The sequence below is a fragment of the Homo sapiens genome, chromosome 1 (genome assembly GCF_000001405.40).
Source record: "Homo sapiens chromosome 1, GRCh38.p14 Primary Assembly".
NCBI classification, from domain to species: Eukaryota; Metazoa; Chordata; class Mammalia; order Primates; family Hominidae; genus Homo; species Homo sapiens.
In genome coordinates this window covers 117,551,031-117,563,386 of record NC_000001.11, presented here as the reverse complement: position 1 = coordinate 117,563,386, position 12,356 = coordinate 117,551,031, and the positions used below count along the sequence as shown (strand labels likewise).

The 12,356-nt window shown below is 41.2% G+C and overlaps 1 annotated feature.

Moving 5' to 3' along the window:
- Positions 222–466: a silencer, noted in NCBI's record as "fragment chr1:118105543-118105787 (GRCh37/hg19 assembly coordinates)". NCBI's record gives its function as "represses an EF-1alpha promoter that drives an FKBP-Casp9 reporter gene in an ReSE screen in HepG2 liver carcinoma cells {active_cell/tissue: HepG2}" and the evidence as "EXISTENCE:reporter gene assay evidence [ECO:0000049][PMID:32094911]".

The window sequence follows — 12,356 nt, the reverse complement described above, 5'->3', positions numbered from 1 at the left end:
TAAAGGGACCTGCTGGACAAAGCGTGAAGGCAGGCTCAGGAATGCCAGGCTGTGGGTCATGCTGGCTGAGCCCAGAGGGCAAGGACAGCTGTCTGGCAGATGATGAGTTCTCATTCCCAGCTGAGTAGCTTAGTGAGCGCAGATCCTCCCTTTGCCTTGAAACAGAGGAGCTAGGCAGCCCTCACTGCTCTCTGGCTGTTTACCTTGGAAAGCCATCTCTCTTTGGAGTTCAGGTCCTCGTCCATGAATGAGGGAACCAGAACTGTGTAGGCTGCCAAAAGCCACCACATGAGGAAGCTGTGTGTGGGAGGGGTGTGTTGTCTTTGGGGGCTCCGGTGCCAGGTTCTGCTCCAACTCAAGGGACTCTGGTACCTGTCAGATAGCTGGCTGGTTCACCGAGGTCACACCCTGGGGCCTGGGACTCCCACTTCTCCCTAAAGGTGAGGTGATGATGCCAACCAGGCCCCTGTGGACATTTCCCACCAGCTCTTCCTCCTCTTCTTACACGTGGTGACAGAAATGTACCCTGGCAGCTGCAGAGAGAAAGGGCCTTTGACTGGGGGGCCAGGGAGGGGCTCAGCTTTATTTGTTGACTATAAAAATGTCAGCTCCTTTGGGCAGCTTCTTGAATCAATATTTGCTGTTCTGAGGCTGAGTTCAAATGCTCAGTAATCCACTCAGCCTGTCCTCTTCCTCCCTCACCTGGGTGAGGGCTCACACCCACACATATTTGGCAGGGCCCCTCACTGACGGGGATGGGGAGCCTACTCCAGGCCCTGCACCCATCCCTGCGAGGGGCTGTCCTGAGAGCTCTCTAGCCCAAAGCTAGCTTGCTAGGAAGGAAGGATCTGAGAGACAGGATTGCTCTGAGTTTCATTCTGTGCATCTGAAAAATGAACAGAATAGTAACACCTACTTCCCAGAGTAAGTTCAAATAAAAGAAGGGATGTGCACAGTTTTCCTCAGTCATCAGGCTATGCAGCATAGCAACAATAATGACAATGACAACAATGACAGTGAAGGTGAAAGCATTTGCTGAAACTTCCTAGGTGTTGCTGTGCTGCTGAGTAGCCTCTAGCCCAGTCTTGTGGCTGTGCTCTGAGAGCACACATGTTCTAGAATATTTTTCCCTGTGACCTCTGCATCAACCACTAGCTCTCAGCCTCCAGCAGCTGCCCACCTCACACTTCTTTCTGGTAATGGGCCAGGGGAATCTTAGTGAAGAAATATGGGGCTGTGAAGGTAGATGGATCCTTGATCTTCCACTTCGCACTGTGTGCCTTTTGACCAGTTACTTAAGCTTTCTAAGCCTCAGATTCTCATCTACAAGATGGACCAAGGCCTAGCTTACAGAGCTGTTGTGTGGCTTAGAGATAATGCATGTAAAGCACCCAGCAGGGCATCTGGCACTTAGTAGGTATTTCTCAAGTATTTATTCTTCCCTCCTGTGGTTGGCGCATCCTGGTCCAACAGAACTTTCTCTGCTCAAACATGGGTCTGTGCATTGGGTGAGACCAGCCTGGGCCCCAGAAACCATAAGGCTTCTTTGCTGGCACACAGGAAGCTCTCACGGTAGAGAGTGCTTTCAAGTTACTCCATCCTCCATCTTTGGCTTCTGATTTGGCTTGGCTGCCAGAATTGGTGCACAGCTTAATACCTGCAGGGTGCAGGGAGAGCCATCAACCCCCTGGGGCAGGTGGAAGCCTTGCATCTGATGCCAAGAGTGGCCTTGGGATGAGAAGTACACATTGAATCTGACTCACACAGCACCTGCCTGGGCTCATCACTTTCCATCTTGTGGTCACTGCAGATGGACACAGGGCCCCACAACCCCTGTCCACCCATTGCTGTCTGCCATGAGTTTCTGAAAAGACGGCTCTACCTTTGAGAAGGCCTCATGGACAAAAGTCTCATGTGCACTGTGGAGCAACAGTAAAACTTAATCTTGGGCCAAACCAAAAGTGTAGCCATGGAGCCCCTGGGAGCCTCAAGGCTCCCCAGATGACACTCTCAGAGCACCCATTCTGAGACTGGCTGGGCTCCGGGCCCAGCTACAGTTGAGCTGATGCTCAGTGAAGCCTGTACCCCTAGGCCAGGGCTGGGGCTGGTCATGAGCAAGTGGGGAGGAGGCAGCCGCTCCTTCTCCAGCCTGTCTGAGGCACAGCCCAGGCAGTACACACCTGAGCTTTCTTCACTGGTGCCCAGGGAGACTTCATGCAAGAGAGTTCCCCTCCAAGATATATAAAAATTCAGGGAGTAAGGAGTACCTTGGCCCACCAGAGGCACAACAAGCTGTCTCTCCTCCTCTCTCTGCTTGAGATTTGAGCAATTTGTCCTAGATCCCCCTGCCATGGCATGATAGCTATGAGAAGCCCCTGCTCAGGATGAGAATGAGGGAGGGAGAGAGCCAGCTAGTGAGAGCACATGTCTTAAACAGTGTTCCTCCAAGGTTATTCCAGGGGCCAGCAGTGCCAGAATAACCTGAATTGTTTATTAAAAATGCAGATCCCTGGCACCACTGCAGATGACCTAGATCAGAATCTTTAGGGTGAAGCCTAGGGATCTGCACGTTTAAAAAGCACCCCAAATGATTCCTATATACACTAAAGTTTAATGACCCCTGCCAAAATCCCATGTCCAATACATGCTTGCTCTGAAATAATGTATGCCTTTTAATTGAGGTATACTTTACATATAGTGAACCTCAAACTTGTCAGTTTTAATGAATGCATATCAAGACACAGAACATTTCCATTATTCCAGAAAGTTGCCTCATGCCCCCTCCTAGTCAATTCTACCTCCTAAGCAACCACTGATCTGATTTCTATCATCATAGGTTAGTTTTACCTCTTCTCAAACTTTATATAATTGAGTTCATATCATGGGTACTTTTTTGTGGCCAGCTTCTTTCACCCAGCATATTTTTTGGATTCATCTATATCAAAATGTATATTGGCAGTTCATTCCTTTTTGTGGCTAACTAGTATTTCATTGCATGAACATATCACAGTTTGCTTTTCCATTCTTCTGTTGTTAGACATACAAGTTGTTTATAGTTTTTGGCTATTTTGAACAAAGTCCTGATGACAATTTGTGTTCAGGTTTTTGTGGACATATGCTTTCATTTCTCTTGGGTAAATACCTACGAGGGTGATATGGTTTGGCTGTGTCCACCCCCTCAAAATCTTATCTTGAATTCCCACTTGTTATGGGAGGGACCTGGTGGAAGGTAATGGAATCATGGCGGAAGGTCTTTCCCATGTTGTTCTCGTAATAATGAATAAGTCTCACAAGATCTGATGGTTTTAAAAAGGGGAGCTTCTCTGCACAAACTCTCTTCTCTTATCTGCCACCATGTGAGACATGCCTTTTACCTTCTGCCATGATTGTGAGGCCTCCTCACCCACGTGGAACTATAAGTTCAATAAACCTCTTTCTTTTGCAGATTGTCCAGTCTTGGGTATGTCTTTATCAGCAGTGTGAAAATGGACTAATACAGTAAATTGGTACCAGTAGAGTGGGGCATTGCTGAAAAAGATACCCCAAAATGTGGAAGCGACTTTGGAACTGCGTAACAGGTAGAGGTTGGAACAGTTTGGAGGGATCAGAAGAAGACAGGAAAATGTGGGAAAGTTTGGAACTTCCTAGAACTTGTTGAATGGCTTTGCCCAAAATGCTGATAGCAATATGGACAATAAAGTCCAAGCTGAGGTGGTCTCAGATGGAGATGAGGAACTTGTTGTGAATGGCTTTGCCCAAAATGCTGATAGCGATATGAACAATAAAGTACAGGCTGAGGTGGTCTCAGATGGACATGAGGAACTTGGGAACTGGAGCAAAGGTGACTCCTGTTATGTTTTAGTAAAGAGACTGGTGGCATTTTTCCCTTGCCCTAGAGATTTGTGGAACTTTGAACTTGAGAGAAATGATTTAGGCTATCTGGCGGAAGAGGTTTCCAGGCAGAAAAGCATTCAAGAGGCGACCTGGGTGCTGTTTAAGGCATTCAGTTTTATGAGAGAAGCAGAGCACAAAGAGCATAAAGCAGAGTGGAAAATTTGCAGCCTGACAATGTGACAGAAAAGCAAAGCCCATTTTCTGAGGAGAAATTCAAGCTGGCTGTAGAAATTTGCATAAGTAACAGGGAGCCGAATGTTCATCCCCAAGACAATGGGGAAAATGTCTCCAAGGCATGTCAGAGGTTTTCATGTCAGCTCCTCCCATCACAGGCTCAGAGGCCTAGGAGGAAAAAGTGGTTTCATGGGCTGGGCCCAGGGTCCCTGTGCTATGTGCAGCCTAGGGACTTGGTGACCTGTGTCCCAGCTGCTCCAGCCATGGCTAAAAGGGGCCAATGTAGAGGTTAGGCCATGACTTCAGAGAGTGCAAGTCCCAAGCCTTGGTAGCTCTCACACGGTGTTGAGCCTGCGAGTGCACAGAAGTCAAAAATTGGGGATTGGGAACCTCCACCTAGATTTCAGAAGATGTACAGAAATGCCTGGATGTCCAGGCAGAAATTTGTTGCAGGGGCAGGGCTCCCATGGAGAACTTCTGCTAGGACAGTGTGGAAGGAAAATATGGGGTCAGAGCCCCCCTACTGGGGCACCACCTAGTGGAGCTGTGAGAGGAGGGCCACCATCCTCCAGACCTCAGAATGGTAGATCTACTGACAGCTTGCACCATGCACCTAGAAAAGCCACAGACACTCAGTGCCAGCCCATGAAAGCAGCCAGAAGGGAGGCTGTACCCTGCAAAGCCACAGGGGTGGAGCTGTCAAAGACCATGGGAATCCACCTCTTGCATCAGCATGACCTGGATGTGAGACATGGAGTTAAAGGAGATGATTTTGGATCTTTAAGATTTGAATGCCCTGCTAGATTTTGGACTTGCATGGGCCCTGTAACCCCTTTGTTTTGGCCAATTTCTCCCATTTGGAATGGCTGTATTTACCCAATGCCTGTGCCCCCATTGTATCTAGGAAGTAACTAGCTTGCTTTAGATTTTATAGGCTCATAGGCAGAAGGGACTTGCCTTGTCCAAAGACTTTGGACTGTGGACTTTTGAGTTAATGCTGAAATGAGTTAAGACTTTGGGGGACTGTTGGGAAGGCATGATTGGTTTTGAAATGTGAGGACATGAGATTTGGGAGGGGCCAGGGTCAGAATGATATAGTTTGGCTGTGTCCCCATCCAAATCTCATCTTGAATTCCCACATGTTGTGGGAGGGATCCAGTGGGAGGTAACTGAATCATGGGGGCTGGTGTTTCACGTATTGTCTCATGATAGTGAATAAGTCTCATGAGATCTGATAGTTTTAAAAGGGGGAACTTCCCTGCACAAGCTCTCTTCTCTTGTCTGTCTCCATGTGAGATGTGCCTTTCACCTTCTGCCATGATCGTGAGACCTCCCCAGTCACATGGAACTGTAAGTCCAGTAAATCTCTTTCTTTGGTAAATTGCCCAATCTCAGGTATGTCTTTATCAGCAGCATGAAAATGAACTAATACAGAGGGGAAGTACTAGGTCATATGGGAAATGTGATGGGGTGAGGTAGGCAGAATTCTAAATGGTCCTTATGATCTCTGCCTCCTGGCTCTACACCCTCTCCTCTTGAGTGTGGGCAGGATCTATGACCTATTTCTAACCAACAGAGTACGGCACCAGTGATGGATGTCACCTCTATGATTATGTTACTTTGCATAAGACTCCATCTTAGCCAACTGGAATGAGAGACTCTCCCTTGAGCTACAGGGGCCTCTAGAAACTGAGAGCAGCCCCTTGCTCACAGCCATCAAGAAAGTGGGACCTCAGCCACAACTGAATTCTGCCAACGACCATGTCAGCATAGAAGAGGACCCCAAGCTCTGGAAAGGAACAAAAACCGATGGCAATTTTGATTCTATTCTTGTGAGGCCCTGAGTGGAGGTCTCAGCCAACCTGTGCCTGGACTCCTGCCTACAGAAACTGTGAGATAATTAATGTTCACTGTTGTCCATCACTATATTTGTAGTAATTTGTTATGCAGCATAGAATACTGATACATGAGGAAAGGAAAATCACATCAATAAATGGGCCACAGACCTAAATGGAAAAGCTAGAAAGTTACTAGAAAGAAACACTGAAGAATGTCTTCATGACCTTAGAGAAGAAAAAAATTTTCTCCAGAGGATTCAGAAAATATTAGCCATAAAAGAAAAAATTGCTAAATTGCAATTTCAGCAAAATTTTAAAAATTTTTCTAACTAAAAGACACAATTTAGAAAATACTTAAGTTACAGGTTGGGAGAAAATATTTGCAACACATAACATTGACAAATGACTTGTATGTGCATGCATAAAGATTCCTATAACTAAAGAATGAAACAAGTCAATTAAAAAGAACATAAAAGAAGAGGGACCAATGGCCAGTAAGCCCATGATGCCCATGACAAAATGCTCAACCTCATTAGGCATTAGGCAAAATGCAAATTAAAACCACAATGAGATATCAGTACATATCAACAGGAATGACGGAAATGAAAAAGACAATACCAAATGCTAAAATAAAAAGAGATCAACAACAATAAATGTTGGAGAGGATGTGGAACAGCTAGGATAAGATCTTATACATAGCTAGAGGAAGTGTAAAATGTGCAGTCACTTCACAAAACTGAAGTTTCTTCAGAGTTTAAATATCTACCTTAGTTTGATTTTATAGCTTACAACAATAAAACCACATGCCTTCATCAGTAACTAGCATTTGAAATGTGTTTTTTAAAATCAATGTTATAAGTGTACATGATAGAAGAGTCAGTTAGACTTAATTCAGTAAGACTTAAATGATAGAAGAGTCAGACTTAATTCAGTAAGACTTAAAAAAGAGGAACTATCAACTCCCTATTTCCTTTTCTCAAGAGGGAAATCCTTTCAATTCCATTAGTTTTCTTTTCTTTTTTAACTTTAACTTTTTTGGTTTTTCAGTCTAATTGACTTTTTACTAGTGAAGATAAGGATTTATTTCTGTTTAACCACCACTACTACATGACCAATATCTCTTCCCTTACCCTATTCTTCCAGTGTAGCTATATCTCAATTGTTGGATATTTAATATTTCTAATGTTACTACTAAACTCTATTAAGGACTGAGCCTAATAATAATAATACTAGCCACCCTATTATTTTTTCTTTCTTGCCCTACTTTTAGTTTTCTTTGAAGTTTCTTCTTTAATTATTTGCTTAGTTTTAATCTTAGCCTCTAAAAAGTAGAGTCTGAAGCAAAAATTAAAGTGCTGTTACTCTATTTGGGAGATGCAAATCCAGATCACTGAGGTTGAGGAAAAAGGAAGGGAGGCAAATAAAGACGTGAAGCAATGCAAAATGACATGTTACTGCACTTGGCTGCTGCTGCATAAAGAACCACTTAGTGACACAGCGGGTTGTTCAGCAGGTCTGTTCATTTGGCACCCGAGACTTCTCCAGATGGGTTGCAAGAATAAATCATGCTTCAATGTCCACCATAGAAGAAAAGAAGAAAAGTGATTTGTCCTCCAGGCTCCTTCTTGTCTCTGGATTCTTGTTTGGTAAAATTCATCTCATGTGAATGTATTCCCTTGTACTTCTAGATTGCATTAACCCAGTCCCTTCATGGGCTGCCCACTTGAGATCCTAGATCTCACACCCTGTGCTGTAGTGTTTTATCCAACCCTGGAAGAGACGGAAGGAGAAAAACTCTGAAGGAATGGCTAGTTGGCCTAGCTTCAAGAATAGCTACAAGAGATGTAGGGAGCTTGCATCTCATATAGTTTTCTATACACTTATCACTGATACAACCCCAGCTTTCACCTATCCACTGAAAACTCCTCTCAATCACTCAAATAAATGAGGGTATTCCATCATTTTCCACTTCCTGGAGCTCTATCTCTGGATCCATTTGACCATACTCCACTCTGGACTGGTTGACATCTATACTTCGTACACAGCTGTTATCCTGAAATCTCCTTTCACCGTCATTTTGAGTTTTTCTCCTTCTGTCTCTTAAGTTGAAACTGTTTCCTGAATTACATATCTTCTTCTTTTCAACCTATCCATCTGACAAATGGCTAATATCTAGAATCACAAGGAACTTAAACAAATTTACAAGAAAAAAACAAACAACCCCATCAAAAAGTGGGCAAAGGATATGAACAGACACTTCTCAAAAGAAGACATTTATGCGGCCAACAAACATATGAAAAAAAGCTCATCATAATTGGTCATTAGAGAAATGCAAATCAAAACCAAAAGGTCATACCATCTCATACCAGTTAGAATGGTGATTATTAAAAAGTCAGGAAACAACAGATGCTGAAGAGGATGTGGAAAAATAGGAACGCTTTTACACCGTTGGTGGGAGTGTAAATTAGTTCAACCATTGTGGAAGACAGTGTGTGATTCCTCAAGGATCTAGAACCAGAAATACCATTTGACCCAGCAATCCCACTACTGGGTATATACCCAAAGGATTATAAATCATTCTATAAAGACACATGCACACATATGTTTATTGCAGAACTATTCACAATAGCAAAGATTTGGAACCAACCCAAATGCCCATCAGTGATAGACTGGATTAAGAAAATGTGGCACATATACATCATGGAATATTATGCAGCCATAAGAAAGGATGAGTTCATGTCCTTTGCAGGGACATGGATGAAGCTGAAAACCATCATTCTCAGCAAACTAACACAGGAACAGAAAACCAAACACCACATGTTCTCACTCATAAGTGGTAGTTGAACAATAAGAACACATGGACACAGGGAGGGGAACATCACACATCGGGGCCAGTTATGGGGGTGAGAGGCTGGTGGGGGGATAGCATTAGGAGAAATACCTAATGTAGATGATGGGTTGATGGGTGCAGCAAACCACCATGGCACATGTATACCTATGTAACAAACCTGCATGTTCTGGACATGTATCCCAGAACTTAAAGTATAATAATAATAATAAAAAAATAATCCTTAGAGGAAAATTACCAAATTATCATTATTTCCCTATAAAATTAAAGAGGCAAAACACAACTAAGATAAGGTTTCTGCCCACAACACATTTACAGTTTTAAAAGAGATTAATAGGTTGGTAGGTTTAAGTTATACAAACATTAAGCAGTGACCAGGTACAGTGGCTCATACCTGTACTCCCAACACTTTGGGAGGCCAAGGTAGCCAGATTGCCTGAGCCCAGGATATCGAGACCAGCCTGGGCAACATGGTGAAGCCCCGTCTCTACAAAAATACAAAAAATTAGCCAGACATGCTGGCATGCTCCTTTAGTCCCAGCTATTCAGGAGGCTGAGGTGGGAGGATCACTTGAACCAGGGAGGTTGAGACTGCAATACGGCATGATTTTGCCACTGCACTCAGCCTAGCAACAGAGTGAGACCCTGTCTAAAAATAAATAATAAAAATATTAAGCAAAGCAAGGCATAATTTAGTACTAACTTGATTGATGCAGAACCTATAGGAGATGTGAAGCCACTTTCTTGGTTTATACTTTTGTTTTGGTAAAAGACCTCCTAAGAAATGGTGCATAGTATGAATAGGGTGCATATAGTTCAATTCTGGCCTTGGTATTAAGCCTCAGCCTTAAAAAGGCCAAAAAGCCAAATGCATACTTAAACATAATTTCTGGCATCTATAAATTTTTACTAATCAATAATCTTGTGACCTTCAGGGTTACCACCATATCTAATTAGTGCTGAATCATCAGTAATGTGAATAAGCCACACCATTCAAATTATTGCTAATATTAGAATATTCACCTTCAAATATCAGTAGTCACTTTAGATGACTTTTGGAGTGAGAATCTACTTGTGTGCTTTATACATTGTAAATCTATCAGTTACTTGAACATGTACTCCCAAACACAAAATGCATTTGTATTATTCAAAAATTGAACATCTGGTAAAATTTGGCTGTGAATTCATCTGGCCCTGGGCTTTTCTTGGTCAGGAAATTTTTTATTACTAGTCAATTTCATTACTCGCTATTGGTCTGTTCAGGATTTCTATTTCTTCCTAGTTCAGTCTTGGAAGGTAGTACATTTCCAGGAATGTATCCATTTCCCCTAGGGTTTCTAGTTTGTGAGCATAGAGATGTACAAAGTAGTCTCAATTGATCTTTTGTATTTCTGTGGTATCAATTGTAATGTCACCTTTATGATTTCTGATTGTGTTTATTTGAATCTTCTCTCTCTTTTTCTTGGCTAGTCTAGCCAGTGGTCTATCAATTATGTTTATCTTTTCAAAGAACCAACTTTTTGTTTCATTGATCCTTCATATCATGTTTTTTTTTTTTTTTTTTTTTGTCTCAACCTCACTTAATTCTGCTCTAATCTTTGCTATTTCTTTTTCTTCTGCTAGCTGTTGGTTTGGTTTGTTTTTATTTTTCTAGTTCCTTGAGGTGTGACATTAGGTTGTTGATTTTAGGTCTTTCTATCTTTTTAATGTAGCCATTTAACACTATAAGCTTCCAGCACTGCTTTTGCTATATCCCAGAAGTTTTGGTGTGTTGTGTCTCTTTTCATTTGTTTCCATCTTTTTAATTTCTGTATTAATTTCATCATTTACTCAAAGATCATTCAGGAGCAACTTGTTTAGTTTCCATATATTCAAATACTTTAGAGAGCTCCTCTTGATATTGAGTTCTAATTTTATTTCACAGTGGTCTAAAAAGATATTTCATATGATTTTTTAAAAATTTATTGAGACTTGCCTTATGGCCAAGAATATGGTCTATTTTCCAGAATGTTCCACATTCAGATAAGAAAAATGTATATTTTGCAGTTGTTGGGTAGAATGTTCTGTAAATGTCTATTAGGTAGGTCCATTTGGCCTAGAGTCCAGTTTAAGACTTTGCTGATTTTTTGCCTTGATGATCTGTCTAGTCCTGTCAGTGGGGTGATAAAGTTCCCCACCATTATTGCATTGCTGTCTCTTTTCTTAGGTCTAGTAGTATTTGTTTTATGGATCTTGGTGCTTTGGTATTGGGTGCATATATATTTGGGATAGTTATATCTTCTTGTTAAATTGAACCATTTGTCATTATATAATAACTTTTGTCCTTTTTTACAGTTATTGATTTAAAGTCTGTTTTATCTGACATAAATATAGCTACTCCTGCTCATTTTTGTTTTCTGTTTGCATGGTATAGTTTTTCATATGTTTATTGCAGCACTATTCACAATAGCAAAGTCATGGAATCAACCTAAGTGTCCATCTACAGATGACTGGATAAAAAATGTGGTAATTGTATTTATATATATATACACACACACACACATACACACACACACACGATGGAGTGCTACACAGCCACAAAAATGAAATTATGTCTTTTGCAGCAACATAAATGGAGTTGGAGGCCATTACTATAAGTGAAATAACTCAGAAACAGATAATCAAATACTACATGCTCTCACTTATAAAGGGAGCTAACCAGTGGGTACACATGGACATAGAGAAGGAACTAACAGACACTGGGGACTTCAAAAGTGGTAACAGTAGGAGGGGGTAAGGGTTGAAAAATTACCTGTTGGGTACAGTGTTTACTATCGGGGTGATGGACACGCTGGAAACCCAAACTTCACCATTACACAACATATCCATGAAGCGAACCTGCATCGGTACCCCCTCAAACTATTAAAAAAATTGAAATGCTATAAAAAGTAATGAGCAATTTTACATATGAAAACAATTATTAAAAACAGCCAAATAGCTGAATATATAGGAAACAGAGTGTTGATTTGAAGGTTAAAAAAGAGTGGATTCGTGACATAAACATAGGAAGAACTTCATATCCTTTTTGAATAAAATGTTAATTAAAAACTAAATGATACAAGAAAGAATAACAAAGATTAGATTATATCATAATTCACATCATTATAGAATTGTTTGAGGTACTAGCACTCAAAACACTAACAAAATAAACTTTAATAACTATATTTAACTTTTTGTTATTTCCCTTTAGGCCGAAGGTATTTCAAAAAAATTTGTCACAGCTTGTGAGGATATGCTTTGCCCTCTCAACATTTCATGAAAAGAAAAAACTCCAAAACCATGTACAACATCATCCATGATTAATCATCTTCAATGTAGACATAACAAAGATACAAATAATACATTTCACAATTTTAGAAAAAACTGAGGTAAACAAAACACATATTTTTCTTGCTGATAAAATATCAAAGTAACAGACATCACAAGAGTTCTTTAAGTTTTTTTAGTTTTGAGTCTTTGGAGGATAAAAATGTAAATAATATACTTGTTCAAAGAGTTGCAATAGACTATGATAAATTTTCAGTAATTAAAGATGATGGATTTTTAGCTGGGTGAGGTGGCTC